Source organism: Homo sapiens, chromosome 1, assembly GCF_000001405.40.
Source record: "Homo sapiens chromosome 1, GRCh38.p14 Primary Assembly".
Lineage (NCBI taxonomy): Eukaryota > Metazoa > Chordata > Mammalia > Primates > Hominidae > Homo > Homo sapiens.
The window spans coordinates 21291260-21312826 of record NC_000001.11 but is presented as its reverse complement, the minus strand read 5'-3'; the positions used below and the strand labels follow the sequence as shown (position 1 = coordinate 21312826).

The 21567-nt window shown below is 51.5% G+C and overlaps 1 protein-coding gene and 1 long non-coding RNA gene across 6 annotated transcripts in view, besides 6 other annotated features; one reads left to right on the top strand and one right to left on the bottom strand.

The window, feature by feature from the left end:
* The window catches only part of ECE1 (endothelin converting enzyme 1), a 128255-nt gene that overhangs the window by 32678 nt on the left and 74010 nt on the right, over positions 1 to 21567 (top strand). Inside the window, exon 1 of one of the 5 annotated variants that reach the window (XM_006710398.3) lies at positions 18397 to 18673. The exons of the other annotated variants lie outside the window; for them this stretch is intronic. The gene's annotated coding sequence lies outside the window, so the exon portion shown is untranslated. Of the gene's footprint in view, positions 1 to 18396; positions 18674 to 21567 lie in introns of those variants that run through there. 5 annotated transcript variants of the gene reach the window in all.
* Positions 1532 to 2086: an enhancer, noted in NCBI's record as "H3K4me1 hESC enhancer chr1:21637234-21637788 (GRCh37/hg19 assembly coordinates)". NCBI's record gives its function as "activates a minimal SCP1, AML or CMV promoter by ChIP-STARR-seq in naive and primed H9 embryonic stem cells {active_cell/tissue: H9 hESC(naive and primed)}" and the evidence as "EXISTENCE:reporter gene assay evidence [ECO:0000049][PMID:30033119]".
* Positions 4916 to 5603: an enhancer, noted in NCBI's record as "H3K4me1 hESC enhancer chr1:21633717-21634404 (GRCh37/hg19 assembly coordinates)". NCBI's record gives its function as "activates a minimal SCP1, AML or CMV promoter by ChIP-STARR-seq in primed H9 embryonic stem cells {active_cell/tissue: H9 hESC(primed)}" and the evidence as "EXISTENCE:reporter gene assay evidence [ECO:0000049][PMID:30033119]".
* Positions 12958 to 19537, bottom strand: ECE1-AS1 (ECE1 antisense RNA 1). Its single transcript, NR_038404.1, has 3 exons — positions 19084 to 19537; positions 18617 to 18893; positions 12958 to 14800 (listed from the first exon to the last, which is right to left on the bottom strand). It is a non-coding gene; the product is annotated as an ECE1 antisense RNA 1 (long non-coding RNA).
* Positions 15652 to 16256: an enhancer, noted in NCBI's record as "H3K4me1 hESC enhancer chr1:21623064-21623668 (GRCh37/hg19 assembly coordinates)". NCBI's record gives its function as "activates a minimal SCP1, AML or CMV promoter by ChIP-STARR-seq in naive H9 embryonic stem cells {active_cell/tissue: H9 hESC(naive)}" and the evidence as "EXISTENCE:reporter gene assay evidence [ECO:0000049][PMID:30033119]".
* Positions 17460 to 18659: an enhancer, noted in NCBI's record as "BRD4-independent group 4 enhancer chr1:21620661-21621860 (GRCh37/hg19 assembly coordinates)". NCBI's record gives its function as "activates an origin of replication core promoter dependent on BRD2, P300/CBP, MED14 and CDK7 cofactors, and independent of BRD4, by STARR-seq in HCT116 cells {active_cell/tissue: HCT116}" and the evidence as "EXISTENCE:reporter gene assay evidence [ECO:0000049][PMID:35650434]".
* Positions 17961 to 18120: an enhancer, noted in NCBI's record as "active region_327". NCBI's record gives its function as "activates an Ori minimal core promoter by ATAC-STARR-seq in GM12878 lymphoblastoid cells {active_cell/tissue: GM12878}" and the evidence as "EXISTENCE:reporter gene assay evidence [ECO:0000049][PMID:35858748]".
* Positions 19501 to 19590: an enhancer, noted in NCBI's record as "active region_326". NCBI's record gives its function as "activates an Ori minimal core promoter by ATAC-STARR-seq in GM12878 lymphoblastoid cells {active_cell/tissue: GM12878}" and the evidence as "EXISTENCE:reporter gene assay evidence [ECO:0000049][PMID:35858748]".

Here is a 21567-nt window from a genome sequence, read left to right as displayed (position 1 = left end):
GATAAACCAAGGCACAGGGAGGTCATATCACTTGCCCAAGTCAAACAAATAGTAGTAGGCAGAGCTGGGATTTGAATACAGGCGGTATAGACCCATGTCCACCACACTCCAGCCTGCTGCATCCTCCTACCTCTCAGTGACAGGACAGCACATGGGACACGTGCTGTGTCAGCTGGGGATGCTGCTTGCTCTTTTTATTTATTTATTTAAGAGACAGGGTCTTGCTTTGTCACTAAGGCCAGAGAGAAGTGGCGCAATCATAGCTCACAGTAACCTTGACCTCCCTGAGCTCAAGCGATCCTCCTGCCTCAGCCTCCTGAGTGGCTAGGATGATAGGTGTGTGCCACCACACCAGGCTAATTTTTTAAATTTTTAAAATTATTTTTTTGAGACAGGATTTTACTCTGTCTTTCAGGCTGGAGTGCAGGGATGCAATCACAGCTCACTGCAGCCTCAGCCTCCTGGGGCTCAAGCAATCCTCCCACCTCAGCCTCCTGAGTAGCTGGGACTACAGGTGCCCCCCACCATGCCCAGCTAATTTTTATATTTTTTGTAGAGACAAGGTTTTGCATTGTTTTCCAGGCTGGTCTTGAACTCCTGAGCTCAAGCGATCCTCCCGCCTTAGCCTCCTGAGTAGCTAGGACGATAGGTATGTGCCACCACACCAGACTAATTAAAAAAAAAATTTTTTTTTTTTTTTTTTTGAGACAGAATCTCACTCTGTCGCTCAGGCTGGAGTGCAGTGGCATGATCTCAGTTCACTGCAACCTCCGCCTCCTGGGTTCAAGCAATTCTTGTGCCTCAGCCTCCCCAGTAGCTGGAATTAGAGGCATGCACTGCCATGCCCGGCTAATTTTTATATTTCTAATAGAGATGGGGTTTCACCATTTGGCCAGGCTGGTCTTGAACTCCTGACCTCAAGTGATCTGCCCGCCTCAGCCTCCCAAAGTGCTGGGATTACAGGTGTGAGCCACTGTATCCGGCCAATTTTTTAAATTTAAAAAAATTTTTTTTTGAGACAGGATTTCACTCTTTCAGGCTGGAGTGCAGTGGCACAATCACTGCTCACTGCAACCTCAACCTCCTAGGGCTCAAGCAATCCTCCCACCTCAGCCTCCTGAGTAGCTGGGACTACAGATGTGCACCACCACGCCTGCTAATTTTTATATTTTTTTGTAGAGTTGGGGTTTTACAATGTTGCCCAGGCTGATCTTGAACTCCTGAGCTCAAGCGATCCTCCCACCTCGACCTCCGAAAGTGCTGGGATTGCAGGCATGAGGCACTACACCAGGCTAATTTTTTTTTTTTTTTTTTTTTGTGGAGACAGGGTCTCACTATGTTCCCCAGGCTGGTCTCAAACTGCTGGTCTCAAGCGATCCTCCTGCCTCAGCCTCCCAAAGTGCTGGGATCACAGGCGTGAACCCCCATGCCCGGCCCGCATGCTCTTTTCTCACTTGCCCTGGAAGCCTGCGCTGTTGGTGGTGCATGGGACACGCCTACTGAGTTTATAAATGGGTGGACAGAGGAGGGCACAGATGCTATGAACATTCCTGCATGTTGGGCAACAAAAGGGAGGCACTGGGGGTGTGACCCTGCAGGCCCTGTGGTGTGGGCAGCCAGCCAGACCCAGCCATGGCCCTGAGCTGGCCAGGGAGCCCCACTCTGAAAACAACAGCCCCCATTCATCAAGTCCCTATTGTGTGCCACACACTTTGTCTACATTCTCTCATTTCATCCTCACTACCAGCCTGATTGCCCACGATGGCAGAATGTGTCTTTGACAGAAGCTGGTTTTGAATGTAGGTCCAGCTTTCCTCACAGGGGCACTGAGCTGGGGCCATCTCTTGCCTCCTGAGGGGTGGGTGATGGTTTCCTTGTCAACATGTTTTTGTAGGATATGTTGCTGATTGTGGGTTGAGGGAGGAGGCTGCAGGGTAGGGTTGGAAGAGCCTAGATGAAGATTTTCATCCTGGTTGGCCCCTTACACAACCCCTTCTATTCCTTGATCCTTCGTTTTCTTCGTTCGTCAAAAGTAGTTTATGATCAGGGACAGAGCAGAGGGCTGGGAGAGCCAAGGTGACCAGAGTCTTGGCCCTTTAAGACTTCATCGTCCAGTGGCAGGGACAGTCACCCATACCCAAGTACCCAAATCATCCCTGGAAGCTCGGGTGGGGTCTGCTGGGGGTGTGTGCAGAGTGCAGTGAAAGCACAGGGCCAGAGGTGGCAGGAGGGATGATGTGGACACAGGTTGTTTTGCCTTTCTTCTGCTAACAGCAACCTCCTTCCTTTGGGAATTGTTCCTCCCCAATTCCTTGTGGTGCATGGGACACGCCTACTGAGTTTAGCCGATTAACCAGGCTGTCAATCACAGCATCAGGCCCCACCTCTACTAAGTCACAGGGGAGGGCACAGGAAACAGGCCTGGCCAATCAGAGTTCTTCCCTGGGACTTTCTAATTCAGCCCAGGGAGAGAGAAGGTTTTTTTTCTCTAGGGCTCTCAGCTACCACAAGGTAAGCCTGGCCGAATTCTCTGGGTGTGAAGGATGTCTAATCTCAGAGATGAGAGTGAAGGTAACACACAAGGGGAAGATGAGGCATGGAAGATGAGGCAGGGGAGAGAAATCTAGCAGCAGCATCTGAACTCCTGGATCGTCTCCTGCCTGATGATCCTCCCTCCCTCCCTCTGAGGCAATGTGAGCCAAGATGTTTGTTTTGTTAGAAAATCCAGCTGGGGCCTGGCACAGTGGCTCACGCCTGTAATCCCAGCACTTTGGGAGGCCGAGGCGGGTGGATCACGACACGAGGTCAGGAGATCGAGACCATCCTGGCTAACACGGTGAAACCCCGTCTCTACTAAAAATACAAGAAATAGCCGGGTGTGGTGGCGGGCGCCTGTAGTCCCACCTACTCGGGAGGCTGAGGCAGGAGAATGGCGTGAACCCGGGAGGCGGAGCTTGCAGTGAGCCGAGATCGCGCCACTACACTCTAGCCTGGGCGACAGAGCGAGACTCCGTCTCAAAACGTCTCAAAAAAAAAAAAAAAAAGAAAGAAAAAAAAAGAAAATCCAGCTGGGTTTGGTTTTTATCATTAACAGCCCTGAGGGTCCTGATTGAAGAGGCTTCAGAGAGGAGGTGGCATTTGAAGCATGTGTTGAAGGAGTTCTTGGGACTAACAGCAATGGTGAGGTTATGCCAAGCCAAGGAAGCTGGTGGGAAGGATGTGATCATGACCTGCTTGGGACAATGGCAGGTGCTGATGTCCGGGCAGATCCTGAAGGGCCTCGTGCCACAGAGCAGAGCTCCGACGCATTGACTCATTCCTTCATGCACCCATTCATTCACCCAACCAAGCCAGCGCTCACTGCATACCAGGCACTACTCCAAACACTTTCTGGGTAACTAACTGCATCCTCCCAACAACTTGGTGGGACGGGTACTGTGATTCACCACTTTACAGGTGAGAAGACAGAGGCACAGAGAGGTTAAGTAACTCACTCAAGGTCACAGTTGGTAAATGACAGAGCCAGGGTTTGAACGCCAGCAGTCTGGCTCCAGAGTTTCTGTCCTTAACCACAGAGGGGGAGTGACCATCCTCCCCTGACTCCAGCCCAGGGTTCTTTCTGTGTCTCATATCCCAGTGGGGACAAGACTGCAGTGCCTGTGTCTGGGATGTGGCCCTAGAACTCTGGAACCCCAGTGTGCCTGAGTGAGGGGAAAGGAGAGAGGGAAGGCCCTGTGGATCCTTTTAGAGGACACGAGGTGCTGTCCTGGCCCAGTTCCAGTCCCAACTAGCGAGGAGCCTGTGCCAGATTCCTGCTAGGTGCCCTGCTGTTTCTGCAAACTGTGATAATCTCCAGAAACAGTGAATGATGGGCTCTGGCTCAGTCCAACTAAGCCTGCTGCAGGAGATGGGGAACTTTAAGAAGCTGTGGCTCATAGCCCAGGTACTGGGGAGTTTTAAAACTGCTCCTAGCAAGGGAAACCCTGGGCAGGCAGGAAGGGGAGGGGGCTCTGAGACACGGCATCAGAGAAGGAGCCCTGGGGGACTTGCAGCATTCGCTCAGGCCCCAGCTCGCCCCTCAGTACCCAGACTCAAGCCCCTCCCATGCACAAAGGCTGTTCACCGTCTCATTCAGAGGTTGGGGGTACTAGCCCTGTTTCACAAATGAGGAGGTTGAGGCTCAGCAAGGGCAAGTAACTTGCTTGAGGTCACCCAGCCAATTTTCCTGGGTCCATGTCCAGGGCCCTGGACAGCCTCATGAAGGCTGCCTCTTTGATCTTGTCTCTGATCCCAAAGGGTTTCTGGAACACACGCCAGAGCTCCCTCAGGCCTCCTGGCCCCTCCCTCTCACAAGACGCCCTTCCTCCCTTCCTCTTGTTACTCCCAATTCCAGAGAAGGGCTGTTCCCCCAAATAGAGAGTGCTTTGCCGTTTGTGGGGAGGATCCTGGCAACCCCTGGGGGTCCTACACAGGTGGTCTCCGGGGTGGGGGCTGGAGGGTAAGACTTCCGGTTGTCCCTCATTGGCTAGGCCCTAGCAGGGTGTATGAGGGCAGGACAGCCCATCTCCAGAGCATGCACAAATGCTTGTTAAACTAAAGCTGGGGCAAAGGGAGTGCCATTTCAGCTGAGACTCAAAAGGTTGGCCATTTTCTGACAGCACAGCAGAGAGTGAGGTTTACCAGGTGGAGGAAACAGCATGAGCAGAGGTCTGGAGGTAGAGAAGTGGAAAATGTCTCCAGGGGAAGGGCAGCTGCTTTCCATGTGGGTGGGAGCAAGCTCGTTCATGGTTCCAAGCTAAGAGTGAGCCAGGGAGGTTTTGAGGGGTGACCCCATTCTAGACCTTCTGGGGGGATCCAGAAGGCGTGTGACCCATTGGGATCGCAGCAAAACTGAGCCAGGCACCTCCTCTCTTCTGTCCTGCCCAGATCTCTGCCTGACAAGGATGCTCAAGGCGGGGCCAACCTCTCAAGGGGGCAGGGCCTCCCTCTCAAGGGGGCAGGGCCTCTTTCCTGTGCCTGGCCACCTTTCATAGAGGCTTATCTGTCCCTTCCCATTTTCTGTCTGGAGCCCAGTGCCCTAGGAGCAGTGGCCCTGCGTGGGTACAGCCTGGCCGCCACAACAGGTCTGGTCTTGCCAGCCAGGCAGAGCTTCCACTTTGTACCTCAGAGGTACAAAGAAGCCCCAGCCCCAGACCCAGTGGGGACAAATGACAGGAATGCCTCCTGGGGTGCAAGAAAATGTCCTCTGGAGGCCCCTCTGCTGCTGACGTCCTCACATCAATGACTGTAGTGATCATGTTTAAAACTTGCTTTTTATGAAATACTTAATATGTGCCAGCCACTGTGCTTGGCACTTTACACAGACTCTAGTGGTGTCTCACTAGATGCTCATAACCCCCGGCAAGGAAGCCACTGCCACCCTCACCATGCAGAGGGAGGAAATTGAGGCTCCGAGAGGTGACATGACTCGCTCAACATCACACAGCTGCTAAGCAGCCAAATGTGTCTGACCTTGAGATCTATCTTCCACCCATGATGTGGAGATGCTAGCTCCAGCCCCCCAGAGTCGCTGTGAAGAGCAAAAGTGAATTAAAGGGAACGAGCCCGCTTTGGAAATGTTAAAGCCAGCATTACAGGGCCCGGGCTGGGGTAATGTGGACAGGAGTTCTAAGCAGGGAGCAGTCTGGGAGCTGAGACCCATGCTGGACCCAGAGGAAGGGGAGAGTCTTGAGTGCAGGGAGACGAGGGAGTCCTCGGTGGACCTCAGTCATCCTAAGCCCAAGAGTTGGCTCAGTCCTCGCTGCCAGGCCCTTAGCATTTGTGGCACAGTTGCAGGGCTTTGGAAGGAGCACTGGGCCGGGAGTATAAAAGCCTGGCTTCTAGTCCTGACTGTGTCCCTGACTCAGCATGTCCAGGGGGCCTCAGTTAGTTCATCTGTAGATTGGGGGGGTTGGTCAGACAGGGCTCATGGAGACCTTCCTCGACTCCTCCCCAGAGGCTTGAGCACACCTCGCTGCTGCCCTGTCTTTGTAACACTCATCGCTCTCTGCAGTGAGGCCATCACTGTACTGGTTAGGGTCAAGTTGGAGTCATATTGCCTGGGTTCAGATCCCAAATGCCTTAGAGCTGGATGATCTTGACTGTAACCTTTCTGTGCCTCAGCTTTCTCACCTACAAAATAGGGTCAATAATATGGCCGGGTGCAGTGGCTCAGGCCTGTAATCCCACTTTGGGAGGCCGAGGTGGGCAGATCACCTGAGGTCAGGAGTTCGAGACAGCCTGGCCAACATGGTGAAACGCCGTCCCTACTAAAAATACAAAAATTAGCCAGGCGTGGTGGTGGGCACCTGTAATCCCAGCTACTCAAGAGGCCGAGGCGGGAGAATCGCTTGAACCCAGGAGGCGGAGGTTGCAGTGAGCTGAGATCACGCCATTGCACTCCAGCCTGGGCAACAAGAGCGAAACTCCAAACTCCATCTGAAAAAAAAAAAAACAAAAAAACACTTAACATATAGTATGTGGCACACAGTAAGCACTCAATAAATGTAAGATGCTATTGTTAATATTGCGACTCTTAGTAACATTGTTTATTGTCTCTCCCTGTATTACAATTCAAGCTCCTGACAGCAAACGCTTTGTTTTGTTTAATGTATTCCTGGTGGGAAGCTCATTTTTTGGCACATAGTAGGTACATAATAAATATTTGTTGAATGAATGAATGAGCAAATGAATACACAGACAATGACATTGACATCCCCAGCGTCCAGGAGGCCCCATATGGCTGGATGTGGAGAAGGATGGATGCTGGGAAGACAAACCCAGGCCAGCTGCTTGCTCAGGGCCCAGCCAGCCCTCTTTGTTCCTAGCAGCCCTTGGGGCAGGCCCTGTATCAGTCTGCCCTGATGGGGGGTCCATTCCACTCAGAACAGAGGGTTCTCTCTGGGGATCGAGGTGGCTCCCTGTCCTGCCACCATGACCACAGCGGTATTTGTGGGTGTCTGATGCTGTTTTCCAGCTCAGATTCCAGCCACCAGGCATGGGGGCGAACGTAGATTTTTCCCTGTGCTCAGCAGCCCTCCCTCCCAAACCCACAGAGTGGAGCCCAGCCTGTTGTCTCTTTACCACCCGTACCCGCCCTTTCCAGAGGCCACTCTCACGAACTGAAATGCTCCCACTGCCCCTTACACAGCTCCCTTGCCTCCCTCCTGTTCTAGAATTTCCAGATGGGACTGCTGACACAGCGGTTCTCCTGTGAGTCCTTCTTGGCCCCGGTGGTCTGAGCGACCCTGAGGACGTTGGTGTATGTGCCCAGTTTTGAGAGTGAGGGACAGATTGTTATGCCATTCTCTATACAGAGAAAACGAAAACTCAGAGGAGAGGTTTGCTGGAACATTTACAGTTGTCGGAGGCCTGAGTTGGGATTCACTCAAGTCTGTTTATTTCTTTTGCCTTCATTCATTCATTCAACTCGTATTTCCTGAGTACCTGCTCTCTGTCAAGCACTGCACAGCAGTGTTCATGGTGCCTGCCTTGCCCAGGGATCCAGATGTTAATCAGACCAGAAGTTAGCCTGGCTTTGTAGACTGTGTGTACACCAGTGTTGTCCAGTGGAACTTTCTGGGATGATAGAAACGGCCTGTGTCTATGCTGTCGAGCCTATGTGTGGCTATGAAGCATTTGACATGTGGCTAGTGCAAAGGAGGGTTGAATTTTTCACTTTATTTTTAATTAATTTGATTGAAATAGCCACATGTGGCTCATGGCGCTTCTATGTTGGATGTCGTAGTTCTGCATAGATCTTTGAAGATGTCGTTCAAGGCCTTAACCTGTGGGTCTCAAACTCAAACGTAAGCAGGGACCAAGGATGGGACCGGGCTGATTTTGCAGAGGCATCTTCAGTTGTGTCTTCTTTCCCAGTCGTCAGTATGTTCAGCACTACAAAGGAATCAGTTTCTGTTTTCCTTGAAACATGAGCCCCTCCAGACCTATCTTTCAGTTTTCCATTTTTTTTTCTTAATAAGGTGTAATTTCCATTACAGTGAAATGCACAAGTGAGGGCTGAGGAGTTTTGACAAATGTAGACACCTGTGTAACCACAGAATCAAGATAGAGGGTATTTCCAGGACATTCTCATTCCCCAGAACATTCCCTCATGTGCCCTTCCAGTAAGTCTCATCCTCGGAGGTGGCTGCTGTTCTGATGTCTGTCGCCATATGGCTTAGTTTTCTTGTTTTGAAGCTGCATGTAAATCATTTCACTTTTGACCAAGACAAGGATATGAGAAATATTTCTCTCTTTTTTAAAAGTAAGAAACAACATTGACATGATGAAAATTGGCAGCTCACCCTGGGGCCACAGTGAGGAGGAGATAAGGGGTTGGGGTGGGCTGTGGAACCCCAGGGACTCGTGGCCTGTCCAGAGGAGGTGGCCACTCCTCAGCCCCAGCCACCACGTGGAGAATGTGGTCCCAGCATTGGCGTATCTTTTTTTTTTTTTTTTTTTTTTTTTTTTGAGAGGGAGTCTCGCTCTGTTGCCCAGGCTGGAGTGCCGTGGCGCGATCTCGGCTCACTGCAAGCTCCGCCTCCCGGGTTCACGCCATTCTCCTGCCTCAGCCTCCCAAATAGCTGGGACTACAGGCGCCCGCCACCACACCTGGCTAATTTTTTGTATTTTTTAGTAGAGACAGGGTTTCACTGTATTGGCCAGGATGGTCTCGATCTGCTGACCTCGTGATCCGCCTGCCTCAGCCTCCCAGAGTGCTGGGATTACAGGCGTGAGCCACTGCGCCCGGCCCTTTTTTTTTTTTAAGGAAAATGGAAACTATTCATTTTTTTGAAATAATATCCCCAAAGTGTTACATTTCAAAAACTTTTCTAAGCCAGGCACGGTGACTCATGCCTGTAATCCCAACACTTTGGGAGGTCGAGGCAGGCAGATCACTTGAGGTCAAGAGTTCGAGACCAGCCTGGCCAACATGGCAAAACCCCCTATCTATTAAAAATACAAAAAATTAGCCAGGTATGATGGCGCATGCCTCCTAGTCCCAGCTACTCGGAAGGCTGAGGCAGGAGCATTGCTTGAGCCTAGGAGTCGGAGGTTGCAGCGAGCTGAGATGGTGCCCCTGTACTCCAGCCTGAGGGACAGATTGAGACCCTGTCTCAAAAAACAACAACAACAACAAAATTCCTAGTGCCGTAGGCCAAATAATTCACATCTGTGGGCCAGATGGCCAGTTTGTGAGTTCTGCCTTGGGCCAGTTGGAATGTTAGTAATAATCACAGCTGGTATTTCCTGAGTGCTTCCTTTGTTTCAGGTCCTGTCCTAAGTGCTCTCTATTAGTAAGTCATGTAATCCTTGTAACAATTTATTAATAGATCCACTTTACAGATGAGTAAGCTGAGCCATAGAGAGGGATTAAGTGATTTGCCCAAGGTTATGGAGTGAGTGCTTGGGAGAGCCAGGATTTGAATTCTGACTGTTTCTCCACAATCTGTGTTCCCCACCACTACAAATGTTCCTCTCGAGGGCAAGGGTGGAGGGTGAGGCCGCTGGGGATGGTTATGCCACTTGGGCGGAGCTTTGACAGCCACCACGGTGCCACCTCCCTGAACAGGTGAGGAGAGAGTACCACGGCCCCACCCTGCTGGGATTGCCCTGGCTCGGGCACTTTGCATGTCTGGGCACCTTGGCTATCAGTTGGTGGAGCCCAGTTTTAGGGAGTTCTGGGAAAGCAGCCAGTGGTGGGGCTGGGTAGATGGAAGCCTAGTGGATGAGGAGCCATGAGAGGCATAGAAAGCACTGGGCAAGTGGGGGCAGAAATAGCAGGAGCCTGGCTGGGTAGAGCCCAGGCCCGGGGGGTGGCAGGGGAGAGCTGGAGATGAGGATAGAGAAATCAGCCAGCCCAGGCCCAGGGCCACGGCAGGCTGCTGCTGCCCAGGGGCCAACAGCTGGGGCATTCCTGCCCCCTGGTGATTCATCTGGACAAGCCTGTCATTTGGGGAAGGTACGGGAGGGGAATATAAACATCACCAGGCAAAACACTGCTACATTTCCGTCATCACCTTCCACCTCCAAAGGGGGCAGGGCGGGCCAGGGGAGGAAACTGAGGCCCAGGGAGCACTCGGCTTGAACTCATGCCAGGACTTCTGGCTCCCACTCTGGCGTTCTGTGCATTCCTCAGGGCAGGGGGTTGGGAAAAGGGTCTGTGGTCATTTCTGGAGCCTGAAAAGGGGCATGGCAGGAAGGGGCCAGCAGACACATCCAGATCCTCTCTGGCCCTTATCTTACTTGTAAGTCACCGAGTCAGGGCCTGATATGCAGTAAGTGCCAAATAAGTATTTGCCATTATTAACGGATTTTCCTAATTTGATCCTCACACCCAGTTCTGAGATATGAGCTGTTATCATCACCGTTTCACCAATGAGAAAGTCGAGGCTCAGACAGGTAGACTCCCCGGGTCACAGAGCCAGAAAGTTGTTGGCAGGATTAAAAAGAGTGATGTGTGTAGGGCGCTTAGCACCACCCTGGTGCACAGCAAGGGGCTTGGTGTGGGGCCTGGGCCAGAAGAGGGGGAGGTGGCAGGACTGTTCAAAGAGGGCCTCCTGGAACAGGTGGCGTGGGGCTGGACGTGGGGAACTTAGCCTGTTAAGCTGCTGGTTCCTTTGGGGCTAAGGTTGGTTTCTGACTAAGACCTAATACCCGCTGGGTCTCCCCACTCTGAGAATGCACTGCCTGCTAGAATGCCATGCAGTTTTGGGCCGCACTTGGGCCTCACGTGCTTTCCTGCAGCTCCACATCAGGGGAGCCTAGTGAGCCTGGCCTGGAAGGGGCGGTCTGGCCTCAAGGTGGCCATGTCACCTCTCTGAGCCTCAGTCTCCTCATCTGTCAAATGGGAACAGTGCTACCTACCACACAGGGTTGTGGTGAGGGCCTGGCATCACAGAACTTGCAGGAGATGGCTGTTGAATTGGCCTTTTTTTTTTTTTTTTTTTTTTTTTTTCTGAGACAGGGTCTCACTCTGTCACCCAGGCTGAAGTACAGTGGTGCAATCTCGGCTCACGGCAACCTCCACCTCCTGGGTTCAAGTAATTCCCCTGCCTCAGCCTCTTGAGTAGCTGGAACCACAGATGTGAGCCACCACGCCACCATACCTGGCTAATTTTTTGTATTTTTTTTTTGTAGAGATGGGTTTTTGCCCTGTTGCCCAGGCTGCTCTCTCCTGAGCTCAAAGCAATCCTCCCACCTCAGCCTCCCAAAGTGCTGGGATTATAGGTGTGAGCCACTGCACCCAGCATGAATTGGCTTTTTGTTTGTTTGTTTGTTTGTTTGTTTTTTGAGACGGAGTCTCGCTGTCGCCCAGGCTGGAGTGCAGTGGCGTGATCTCGGCTCACTGCAGGCTCCGCCCCCTGGGGTTCACGCCATTCTCCTGCCTCAGCCTCCCAAGTAGCTGGGACTACAGGCGCCCGCCACCTCGCCAAGCTAATTTTTTGTATTTTTAGTAGAGACGGGGTTTCACCGTGTTAGCCAGGATGGTCTCTATCTCCTGACCTCGTGATCCGCCCGCCTCGGCCTCCCAAAGTGCTGGGATTGCAGGTGTGAGCCACCGCGCCCGGCCCATGAATTGGCTTTTTAAGAACAGAAGTCAGACATAGCCCCAAGCCAGCCTAGGGAAGCTTGGTCCATGTGTGAGCTCAGAACCCAAACATTCTCACTCCTGCTTTTCACCTGTGTACTTTGAGAGGGTCAGGAGGAGACACACCCTCTTCAGCTTTGTCTACACTGGGTCAGGAGGAGACACACCCTCTTCAGGTTTGTCTACACTGGACATGAGTGCTAGGGAGCAAGTTTGCCATTATTGTCCTCCAAACCCAAGAGCAGCAAACACTTATGGAGCACTTGCTGTGTACCAGGCACTATACAAAGCACCTTATATTTTCATTGTACTCCTAGGAAACAGGCTCAGTAGCTGGATGTTGAGCAATCAGCTAGTGATGCTGGAGTGGAGACTTGAACCTATGTAGTCTGGCTTCAGAGTCTATGCTCTTAAGAAGAAAAAAAAGTCTACCAGAAGGGAGCAAAAATAGTAATTCAGGGCTGGGCACGGTGGCTCACACCTGTAATCCAAGCACTTTGGGAGGCCAAGGCGGGCAGATCACTTGAGGTCAGGAGTTTGAGACCAGCCTGGCCAACATGGCAAAACCTCATCTCTATGAAAAATATAAAAAATTAGCCGGGTGTGGTGGAACATGTCTGTGGTCCCAGCTACTTGGGAGGCTGAGGTAGGAGAATTGCTTGAGCCCAGGAGGCGGAGGTTGGAGTGAGCTGAGTTTGCACTACTACACTCCAGCTAGGGCAACAGAGCAAGACTCTGTCTCAAAAAAAAAAAAGTCATTCAGGGCAGTCTTTCCGTTGCAAAGCCTTTTCACATGTGTGATGCAATTTTGTCCTTAGGACCCCTGATGAGTGCAGTGTTACCATCCCTCTCTTAGAGGTGAGGAAAATGGGCCCCAGAGAGGGACACGACCTGCCCAGAGCCACCCACCTGACTCCAAGCCTGGTGTTCTTCTCCCTGCTTCTCAGCCGCCTCCTGGGGATACTGTTGTCCAGCTGGAATGGTGGCAGCCAGCAGGCCAGCAGCAGGGAACCCTGCGTGTCCCACAGCCCCCATGTGCTGCCTCCAGTGGGTGAGCAGCATCCTGGCCCATGCCATGGTTTCCTGCTTCCACCCGACCCTGATCTCAGCTTAGAGCCACCAGTTCTCAGAGACAGTTGAGTGATTTTTCAAACTCCATTCCTTAGAACCCCTGAGGGAGCTGGGTTCAGGGTCAGGATATGAGCTCATTGAGTGCCTAAGTGGCAGCTCCACTTACATCTCTTTTGTATTTTGGGTTGCTGTGTTTAGTTTTTTAAATAAAGGACTCTATGGAATGAAAAAAAATCTGTTTGCAAACCACTGTTCAGATCCAGCAACTACTTCCCCATTTTACAGATGAAAAATGGACAGCAAAGCTCATTTTTTCCCCATAAATGACAATAATATTCAGGCATTGTTCTAAGTCTTGTTACTCGTTTTATCTTCACAAGCCTATGAGGGAGACACTGTTGTCATCTCCATTTTACAGATGAGGACACTGAGGCTCAGATGGTGAAGTAGCTTGCCCAAGGATTAGAATCCAAGGAGCCTAGCTCCCAAGTCCACACCCTCAGCCGTCTGCAACCTGACAGACATACTATCTCTTTGTATCCTGAAGAGGGATGCTACTTGCTGAGGCCCAGGGTAAGGCAGTGTTAGAACTGGGACCGAGATGTGGATCTCCAGCCTCCCAGCCCTATTCCTGTTCCTTCTGCTGTCCAAGACATCGCCTGGGCTGAAGAGGGAACCCTGGCTCTGTCATTTTCTAGCTGTCTGATCTTGGACAAGTGAATGGACTTCTCTGAGCCTGTTTTCTCACCTTAGAAGAGAGATAACAGTACATCATGAGGTCATCATGAAGGTTAGACAGGATCAACCACATGAGTTGGCTGGCATGGGGTTCATGGATCCAAGGAGTCCCCAGAGCTTCCTGCCCCACCCACTTCCTCCTCCCTCTGCCCAGCCCTCACCCACCCACTCACCTGTGTAACACAAATACTAATTACAACTGACTCCATGAGCTGCTTCCTGGTTGAGCACAATTACTGGGCAGCTCAGTCATCACCATTATACCATATCATTCAATGAGACGGGTTAACTTTGTCTTAAGTTGTACGTGATTAGATCAGCACATTGTCAGAGAGCGCTTGGTCTCTTCAGATTGGGACTTCCCCAGCCTGGTCATCACACAGTCCAGGACATCACACAGGAGCACAGGAGCATGAGGAGGTGCAGGGGCATCTGTGGGTAGCCCTGGAGTCAGGACCAGCTGCTTTCTGGTCTGCTTTGCAGTTTGTGCTTGGAGAAGATCAGAGTGGACAACTCAGCCCCTTAAACCCAGCTGGGAGGTGACACCTGAAGTCGTAAGGATGGAGCAGGTGAGGCAGGGTGGGTTAGAAGGAGGTGGTGATTGCCGTCTTATCTGATGTCATGGGAAAACCTGGGTTCAAATCCAGGCTTTGCTGTTTACCAGATGTGTGACTTAGGGTGAGTTACTGATGCTCGCTGCACTCCAGTTGTTTCACACTTGCAAGGAGCTGACATGTGCCACCGAGCCCCAGGTCTAGTGCCTGGCACACCACGGGTCTTCTCTGGTCGTTCCTTCCCTCCCATGTGCTGCTTCTCTGCTAGGCACTGGGCTGAGGCCTTTCCGTGGCTCACTTTTTTAAGACGTGTAAGGATCCTTTGGGGTCGGCACCATGATCATCTCCATTCACGTCCGTGGAAAGATGTGAAAGCCAAAGCATAAAATTGAAGTGAAATGACTTGGTCAGGGCCACACAGCCGCACTTGGCTGCTCTTCACTGTGTTGGGATGAGATGCCAGAAGCATGCTGCCGCGGAGCACCGAGGAAGGGTCACTGCGAAGCCCGAGAGAGCTGCCTGGAGGAAAGCGCGTTAAGCTGAGGAGCCAGCCGGAGAAAGAAGGCAGACTCGAACTCCTGAGGGAGTCGGGAGGGAGGGTTTAGCAAGCCAGGCCAAGGTTCATGGGCTTCATCCTGCCAGCTCCAGGGAGTCTGTGTGTGAGGCAGTTCCACTTGAGAAAGTCCTGCCCAGGCCAAGCATGGTGACTCATGACTGTAATCCCATCACTTTAGGAGGCTGAGGCCGGAGGATCGCTTGAGCCCAGGAGTTAGAACAGCCCGGGCAATACAATGAGACCTTGTCTCTACAAAAAAAATGTTTAAAATTAGCTAGGCATGGTGCTACCCACCTGTGGTCCCAGCTACTCAGGAAGCTGAGGCAAGAGCATCACTTGATCCCATGAGTTTAGAGGCTGCAGTGAGCCATGATCACACCACTGCACTCCAGCCTGGGTGACAGAGCGAGACCTAGTCTCTTAAAAAAAAAAACAACAACAACAAGAGCCATGGCTCACATCTGTAATCCCAGCACTTTGGGAGGCGGAGGTGGGTGGATCATCTGAAGTCAGGAGTTCGAGACCAGCCTGGCCAACGTGGTGAAATCCCATCTCTACTAAAAATACAAAAATTAGCCGGGCATGGTGGCGGGCGCCTGTAGTCCCAGCTACTCGGGAGGCTGAGGCAGGAGAATTGAATTGCTTGAACCCAGGAGGCAGAGGTTACAGTGAGCCAAGATTAAGTGACTGTACTCCAGCCTGGGTGACAGAGTGAGATTCTGTCTCAAAAAAAAAAAAAAAAAAAGAAAAAGAAAAAAGAAAGTTCTGCCAGGAGCTAGCCAGGAGCTGAAAGACTAAAGGGAGCTACAGTAGGAGATCAAGGGGGTCAGGGGGTCACCGGGGAAGGCATGCCGAGGGGACAGAGCCCAGTGGGCCTGGACAGAGGACCAGAGATGATTGATGGAGGTTGCCAGGCAAGTGGACAGGGTGGGCAGGTCAGTGGCCTGTATCAGGTAGGAGTGAGAGGCTGCTGACCAGGTTTGGGGCTTGGGCATGGGGTGGCCTCCACAGCAGGCACTGAAGAATGGGCCAGCAACACTAGGTAAGATTCCCGGTGCCCCCCAGGGCCTCTGGCAGTTGAGTCAACACTGGGCCATGTGAGTGAGTGCTTCCCAGCGCTGTGTGTGTGGAGGCAAGTCTCCTGCTGCCAGCACATTCACGGGAGCCCAGCCCTGGGACTCGGGGCCACGCCAGAGTGGTTGGCTCACAGGCTGGCAGGGCTGCTGCCTTCTCCAAGGGGCAGTTAGCAACCTTGACCTCCTACCTCTGCCCTGTGCCCTTGGCCTTCCAGTGTCTCCCTGAGTCTCACCTTGAGGCCTCCCCAGCCCCTGCCCACCTGCTGCCTTCCCCTGCACAGGCCCTCAGTTCCATCTGAGCCCTTGGTACAAAGGGGAGTCTCCCTCTCCAGGCCCCAGCAGTTATATCTGTCCCTATTTCCCACATCCCAGATGGGTGGCCCGTAGCCTCTAAAGGAAGTTAGCCTACAGAGCCAGGCCCCGGGTAGGAGGCACAAAAAAAGGAGGTGAGGCCCTGAGATAACCAGGAAGATCTGGGTTTGGGCTCCAGCTCTGGCAAGCTGCTTCCTTTCTCTGAGCCTCAGTCTCTGCATCTGTAAAATGGGGATCCCAGGACTTATCCCACATGGTGATTGTAAGACACAAGAGTAAAAGAGCCTTGAGAACTGGGCAATGTCAAGGTCAATGACTCTGTTTTGTTTTGTTTTACTTTATTTTATTTTATTTCTCTCTCTTTTTTTTGTAGTTGAGACAGGGTCTTGCTCTGTCACCCAAGCTAGAGTGCAGTGGCGTGATCTCAGCTCACTGTAGCCTCAACCTTCTAGGCTCAAGCAATCCTTCCACCTCAGCCTCCTAAGTAGTGGGGCCACAGGTGGATGCCACCACACCTAGCTAATTTTTTTTTTAAATTTTTTGTAGAGACAAAGTCTCACTGTGTTACCCAGGTTGGTCGCAAACTGCTGGGCTCAAGCAATCTGCCCACCTCGCCTCCCAAAGTGCTGGGATTACAAGCATGAGCACCCGGCTGAAGGGTACATGATTTCTATTAATAACTCGTATTTGACTTCTTGCTGTTGATATTAACCTCCATCACCTGGGCAATCTGTTATTTTCACTGAGTTTACAGCAGGGCTAGAGTAACAACAAATGTTGGCTGAACAAAGGCCAAGACTGGAAAATCTGGATGAGGGCAGAAGCAAATGGGAGGGGTGGTGAGGAAGACAAGAAGAAGCAAGCAGAAAGAGGTGGCCTGCGCAGGATGTCCCTCTGGTGTGGTTCACGCAGGCTTGGGCTGCTGGATGCCAGGCAGTTCATGTTCTAGCTTACTCGGTATTTACAATGGCCCTTTTACGGATGAAGAAACTGAGACCTGAGGGTGAAAACAACATGTCCGAGGTCACATGAGCCAGGAAACCTGTGAGTGGGCTCAGGTCTGTCTTAATTGCCTGATAAATGTTGTTTCTAACTCTGTTCCACAAAGGATTCATGATAGGTTATAAATAAAATACATTCAGTAAAACGACATGCAATACCAAATGGAAAATCAGAATCACGGAAAACAGAGTGGAAAATGTGGACAAGGAAAAAGCTGAACCTAAAGGCCAAGAAAGTGCCCATAGGCGAGTTTCTGATTTGGCTATGAGTTTCCTGGCAGCCAAAGAAAAAAGAGATACAAGCTGATTCCTGTTATTAAAAAGTAAAGAAGCAGTTTACACTTTCAGGAACTTCATAGTAAATTTTAAAATAAGCTAATCACATGGAAATTTCTCTGGTGAAAAATACTGGGAAATATAATGGATAATGTAATAATAATAAATGTCAAGTGGCATATCTTTAGAAATGATAGCCATATTTTTATATCTTATCCCTTGCCCAAAGTTGTGTTACTTGGGTTTGTTTTTGTTTTTGTTTTTTTGAGACAGGGTTTTGCTGTGTTTCCCAGGCTGGTCTTGAACTCCTGGCCTCAAACAATCCTCCGGCCTGGGTCTCCCCAGGTGCTGGGATTGCAGGCATGAGTCACCATGCCCAGCCAAGCACTTTATCTATATTAACTCATTTAAGTGTCACCACAGTCCTATGAGGGAGGTACTATTGTTATCATCATCCTCCTCATTTGACAGATGAGTACTGAGGCACAGAGAGGCTGAGTCACTTGCTCAGGGTCACAGAGTTGGGAAGTTCAGACTGGGGATCTGAAATGAGGTTTAGATCCAGAGATTTTACCCACTACATTATAGCATCTGTGAAATATAAGTGTTTAGCTACCAGATAATATGAGTGTGTTTTAGATGACATGTAAAGATTGAACAGATCCCAGCCAATTACCAGCACCAAAAGTAGTAACTGATGGGGACTTCGGCCACAAAGGGCAGCGTCTCTAAGGAGCTGAGGCTTAGAGACAATGTGAAAGTAGCTGTGGAGGGTGTGGCTCAGTCCCAGGCCTCAGAATTTCACATGTGGGGCTTCCCTTTTCCACCTCATCACCCCAAGATGACTTAACAATCCCCCGCCTTTGGCCAACCAAACGCAAGAGCCATATGAGTGACTAATGTCGTCTGGGCAAAGGGGGTCATGCCCAGGTGCTACCAGGCCAGGAGGCTTTTGTCGCCAGAAACCTGTGCGTGTTTATATTTCTCGTTTCTGCTCACCACAGGCCTTTGATTTACAAGGGTGGAGTTTCCAGAGCTGGGCACTGTTGCACCTTCATCTGGCTGTCATCACTTCCTCTGTGCAGCTGGGGCACCGGGGACTGAGGACGGGGCAGTCCACAGGGAGCTGTGGTTCCACCCCTTCACTCTTGGTTTCTGCCAGGCCCTCCTCTTGAACACTAGACCCAGATTCAACCCAGATTTCTCCTCCACGGCTGCACAGTGCCAGGAAGGGAACTGAGAAGACCAAAGTGGAGGTTCTTTACCTTCCCCAACACACTCGGGGCCAGGCGTGGCACCCACAACTGCAAATGAGACAATTAGGGAGAATAAGTGCTGGCTGCCCTGTCAGCCCAGAGCCTCAGTCTGCCCAGGGCACCCAGACTCTGTGAGGTTCCCACCTGAAGAAGCAGTTCCATCTTCCACAAGGAGCACAGGACCAAGAGTCCAGGACCCAGGTTCGAGGCCCAGCTCTACCACTTTCTCGCCGCGGGGCTCGGGTTCTCTGGAGGCAGCGTAATGGAGTCAGTGGGTTTGGCAAGGGGAAGATTCGCATTATGGCTCCCTCAGTCTCCAGGCAGGTGACTCAGGGCTGGGGGGAGGTCCTTTCTCCTCTCTGACCCTTGGTCATCTCATTTGTAAAGCGGAGGTGATGATTCTCATCTCAGGGACGAGGCACTGTGGGGTTAGGAGAGAATTTGTCAAGTGGCATGGTTGGTTTTTGGTCTGTCTAGGCCCCTCCCCCTCTCTGTAAGCTGGAAGCGGTACTTGTGAGGCTGAGGCTCTAGGTGGGTGTGGGGAGCCATTGGGGTAGTGAATGGAAGGCCCTGGGCGAAGGGCCCCAGGCAGCTGTTGAAATGTCACTCACCCACTGTGGACTTCCCACCAAGCAGAGCCCGCCAAGCCTTTCCCGTCTGAGGTGGGTTCAGTTTCACTACCGGGCTGAGGCAGGCATCTCAGGAAGGGGCCCTCGGCTTTTGTGTGCTGAAAAATAACCAGGCTCCATCTCTGCTGATTTCTGCTTGGGAGTTCCGTGAGCTTCCTGCATCATCTGTCCACAGACAGGCTGCCGCAGGGTGGACATCAGAGTCCCTGGGGTGGCTTCCGGCCTCCCTCCCTTGCCTCCCGCCTTTGCTCAAACATCTGTAGAGGCTCCAGCCCCAGACTAAGCCCTTAAGGAGACAGGGTCCCGTGAGACCCAGCCTCTGCCATCAGGGTTCTCCTGTCTAAAATGCTGTGTGCCTCAGTAAAAGGCAGCATGGGGTAGGGTGGCTGTGTGGGGACACAGAGCCAGGGACCAAATGCTGTCTGGGGTCCCTGGAGGGTGGTCAGGAGAGCTTGCCAGAAGGGGGAAATCTCTGAAATGAGACAGAAGGAGGAGGAGCCATCGCTTAACCACACCTGGGCGAGTTAACTTCCCCAAGCCTCAGTTTCATTCTCTGTAAAAGGAACCAGTGATACCTGCTTCTGAGGGAAGGGTGAGAAGCTTAAAAGAGATGGTATAAAAGAACTGACAAATCCCGTACACCAGCCGGGTGAATCCCTTACACCACCCACATGCCCCGGGGAGATGTTCTGTGAACTGAACTTCTTTTTCAAAAGTCTTTTCCTCTGGCAATCGACACCTGGTAACGTAGTGTAACCAAGTGTCCTGTTCTAGAAAAAGCCCAGCTGCAACCCAGCAGTAAGTGAAGCAGCCTCAGAGTCCCCTCTCTCTCTGGGATGGGTAATGGAAACTCCTCCACCCAGTGGGAGTGAGGCAGAAGTCTCCAGAATTCAGAGCTTTCCCATGCACCCTGCCTCCCCAGGGCCTGTGACCTTTAGATGTGTTCCCTGTTTCTGTAGGCATTATGAAGTTAGATGCAGGAGAGTTCTTGAGAACTTGAAGGCACTTCCCCTCTACTTGTCCCCCCTTTGATTTTAACAACCGTTTGTTGAGCACCTACTCTGTGCCGGGTGATGGAGAGTCTCTGTTGGACAGGCCAGACAAGGTCCCAGCCCCAGTAAAGCTGTGGATTCTGGAGAGGGACAGAGACAGTGATGATAAAGACATGGAAACAAAACAGTCTGCAACAAGTACTGTAAAGGAAAACAAACAGGATGCTGTAACAGAGAATTTGGGGGACTGCTTAGGGTTCCTGGGACATTTGAGGAGCTGGTAGGCTGAGATCTGAAGTTGGAGCTGACCATGGGAAGAGTAGAGAGGAGGAAAAAATGTTCCAGATAGAGACAACAGCAGCTACAAAGGTCTTGGGGGAAGAAGAAACTTGTAGAAACTGAGGAGTTGTGTGAGGAGGTTGGTGGGGGAGGGGGCGCTGGCAGCACAAGATGAGGGCCCAGAGTGGGCAGGGGCCATGGGGCCTGGTGAAGGGTTTGGATTTCATTCCAGGACAGTGGAGGGTTTTTAAGCAAGGGAGTGGTAATATCAGAATTTTTTTTTATTTTATTTATTTACTCAGACAAGATCTTGTTGTGTCGTCCACGCTGGAGTGCAGTGGTGCAATCACAGCTCACTGTAGCCGCCACCTCCTGGCTTCAAGCGATTCTCCCACCTAAGCCTCCCAAGTAGCTGGGACTACAGGCGCATACCACCACGTCCTGCTAATTAAAAATATATAATATATAAATATATATATATATATTTTCTTTTTGTAGAGATGGGGTCCGTGTTGCCCAGGCTGGCCTAGAATTAGACTCAAGTGATCTCCTGCCTCAGCCTCCCAAAGTGCTGGGATTACAGGTGTGAACCACTGAACCCAGCCAGATTTCTGTGGTTTGTTTGTTTGAGATGGAGTCTCACTCTGTCACCCAGGCTAGAGTACAGTGGCACAATCTCAGCTCACTGCAACCTCGACCTCCTGGGTTCAAGCGATTCTTCTGCCTCAGCCTCCTGAGTAGCTAGGATTACAGATGCATGCCACCAGGCCCAGCTGATTTTTTGTATTTTTAGTAGAGATGGGGTTTCATCATGTTGGCCAGGCTGGTCTTGAACTCCTGACCTCAAGTGATCTACCCAACTTGGCCTCCCAAAGTGTTGGGATTACAGGCGCGAGCGAGCCATGGTGCCTGGCCTCAGCCAGATTTCATTTTAAAGGCTCATCCTGGCTGCTGAGGGGGCTGTCAGAGGGCAGGAGTGGAAGCCAGGAGACCATCTGGAGCCATTGCCCTCACTGTCCCTGTGACGTCAGGCCCCTCACCCCTCTAAACCTGTTTATTCACACATATGTGTGACTGTGAGAATCAAATTTGGAATGAGCAGAAATGCACTTTGCAAAGCTGAAAAGTACGCATAAATGCAGGGATTCCCGCCTTGCTAGAAGCGGAGAGTCCTTTGGAAATCTGCTGGGTTAGA